Here is a 3,032-nt window from a genome sequence, read left to right on the forward strand (position 1 = left end):
TCTGAAAGAGTGTAATTGGAGCTAACACTTCATTAATACGGAAGAGTCCATCATGTTAACATGTGGGGGAAAGAGCAGTTCAGCTGGAGAGATCAGATAATATAAAGGCCCTGAAGCAGGGCTATGCTTGAGATGTCCAAGGCTTAGGAAAGATAGCAAGAAAAGGGAAGAGTGAGGCTGGGCACAGTGGCTCATGCCTGTAATCCCAGCACTTTGGGAGGCTGAGGCAGGAGGATCACTTGAGGCCAGGAGTCTGAGGCTGGCCTGAGAAACATAGCGAGACCCTATTTCTACAAAAGATTTTAAAATTAGCCAGGCATGGGGGTGCATGCTTGTAGTCCCAGCTACTTGGGAGGCTGAAGTAGGAGGATTGCCTGAGCCCAGGAGTTCAAGGTTGCAGTGAACTATGATTGCATCACTGTATTCCAGCCTGGGCAACAGAGTGAGACCCTGTCTCTAAAAAATCACCATCGTCATAAAGTAAGTAAAATGAAAGAAAAGGAAAGAGTGGTATGGGTACGAGATGAGGTCAGAGAAGCAGGCAGAGACTAGATCACATTAATGTGCTGGGGAGACTTGGGTCAGGAAGTAACATGATCTGAATGAATAATTAAAGGAAAGAGTTGAAGAATGCCAAAATAAGTTGAAGAAACATTTTCTAATACTTTTTCTCCAGGGTTTAAATAATATCCAACACAATATTTTAATGTTATTGTCTACAGCACAGTATTACAGTAAAGCAAGTACATTCACTAGGCACTAGCATGGACAGTGCTACAGTGAAGATTTTCTTTTCTTTTTTCTTATTCCTGAAAACAATGGTGAAGCATGGAAGGGATTTTAAGCAGAGACATACCATGGTCCTATTTGTACGTTTGGAAGATCAAGGGGAGAGTGGATTGGAGAGCCATGAAAAGTAGATTCAGGGAGAGAATTAGGATGTAGAGCAAGTATCTCAGGTGAGAGGTGATGGTCTTCAAAGGAGATGGAGAGAAGAGAGTAGAACTGAGACGTATTGAGGAGCCAGAACTACAGGATTGAGTAACAGATAGAGTGACTGACTGGGCATAGGGATAAAGGGAGAGAGATGTGTTGAAGAGGATGCACAACTTTCAGGCTTTCGCAGCTTGGTAATTGTTGCTGTTAGATAAACTGTTAGATAAACTATTAGATAAAAAGTATTTTTTATTAAGTAAACTTTTTAATGAAGTATAGTAATAGGCACAAAACCATGAACAAATAATAAGTGTAGTGTGCAATGCAGTGTCAAAAATGGAACACCTCATGTAAGCAGTGTCCAAAGAATATAAACAGAAGTCTCCATGACCACTTTGATTGAGCAATCATATTCCTCAAGGCATGGAGAAAGTTTCAAGGAGAAACATAACATGTCTTCAGGATGGTTATTTTTGCCTGTTTCCAAACTTTATGTAAGTGGAATCATACAATATATGTGATTTTATATCTGGTTTCTTTGGCTCAATATCATGGTTATAAGAATTATTCCAGTTGCTATAGGTTGCAAAAATTTGTTCATTTGTATCTTGTAGAGTATATGGGGGGGAAAATCACAATTTTCTTATTTGTTAGTGGAAATTTTGGCTATTTTCAGTTTAGGGGAACTATGAATATGCAGTTAATATATTCTTGCACGTGTCTTTTGGTGAACATGTGTGTACATTTCAGTTAAGAGAGGGAGTGTTGGATCATGGTGGAAACTCCTTTTAACACATTGATGAATTAGTGAGAAATAAAGATAAATCCTTAGAGGTCAAAAATGAAGTGACAGCAGGAATCCAGAGATAAAGAATGGAGTATGTAATCCACCCAGGACTCTGAGACATCTGCCCACTTCAGTAACACTTGAATTTCCACTGTGACGGACATGTGGGGTTGGGAACGGAGATAAAGCTTAGGGCCTGCTCAAGGTGGGAAGAATGATAGGATAGTGCTACTCAAAGTGTGGTTTGCAGATCAGTCTTCAAACTATCTGTTGCCAGTACACGTTGAGATAGGTACAGAAATGGAGAGTGTTTAAAAACTTTCATAGTTATTGTATAAGCAGTAGTATCCAAGCAGCATTCCATGTCCCTAGTAATTCATATTGACCTTAGTTTTACAAAAGTATCTGTCTGTGATGGATTATGAGTTAGTATGCAAAGTACTGTCCCGGAAAATCCATACATAAAGCTATTACCCATCCCCAAATAGCTCGGCCCTCAATGAAAGGTGAACTAGAAAAAAATCAGAAATTCTCTCACTAAAATTTGAAACCACAATCTGGCTCTCAGGAGGTTGTGACACAAATTCACATTTCTGTTTGATTTTAAAAACCTCAAGCTAATAATTAATTTTAAAGCGGTTCTGGGTTGAAAGTGTTCCCAGGCACCTGGCAAAACCAAATTCAAATCACCTCTAGCATGGACCCTAAAAACAAAACAAAAACAATTTCTTTAAGTCAGGCTTCAAAGAACTACAACAGATGAAGATTCACAGAACGTTGTGTTTACAATCAAAAATCACTAATACTGTGAGAAAGCAGAACACAGTGGGTCAGTAGAAACAGGAAGTAACCACAATCAGACTCACAAAGACTTCAGATGTTGGAATAACTCTGTTATTTAAGATATGTATATTTAATACATTTAGAAAAGTAAAATAATATTCCAAAAATAGAACTAAAAATAAGAGACCATCAAAAATGACCAGCCATTCTCAAAGTAAGAAATATAATACCTATAATTTAAAACTCCAAGGAGAGAAGTATGTGCTTCTGACAGTATAGTGTATTAGATATTCTGGAAGGCCTTCTTCCTGTGAAACAAGTAGATCCAGCATAAAACATAATCTTCTTGTGTTATCAGGCTTATAGAAAGAAACGGAAATCACTAAAAGACCAGGAAGTTTTATGGCTCAAGGACATCAATTAAAAAAGAAAAGACCAGAAAATTTTTTAAAGGGACCAACTATAAGGGAAAGCCAGAGTAGTATGTGCAGTGCATAATCCAGAGTAGTGAGTATGTGCAGTGCAT

The 3,032-nt window shown here is 38.1% G+C and overlaps 1 annotated feature.

Moving 5' to 3' along the window:
• Window positions 1,570–2,165: a transcriptional cis regulatory region, noted in NCBI's record as "candidate enhancer chr7.3907 targeted for multiplex CRISPR interference". NCBI's record gives its function as "positively regulates RELN gene expression with high confidence in K562 cells {active_cell/tissue: K562}" and the evidence as "EXISTENCE:mutant phenotype evidence [ECO:0000015][PMID:30612741]".

This window comes from Homo sapiens, chromosome 7 (genome assembly GCF_000001405.40).
Source record: "Homo sapiens chromosome 7, GRCh38.p14 Primary Assembly".
Lineage (NCBI taxonomy): Eukaryota > Metazoa > Chordata > Mammalia > Primates > Hominidae > Homo > Homo sapiens.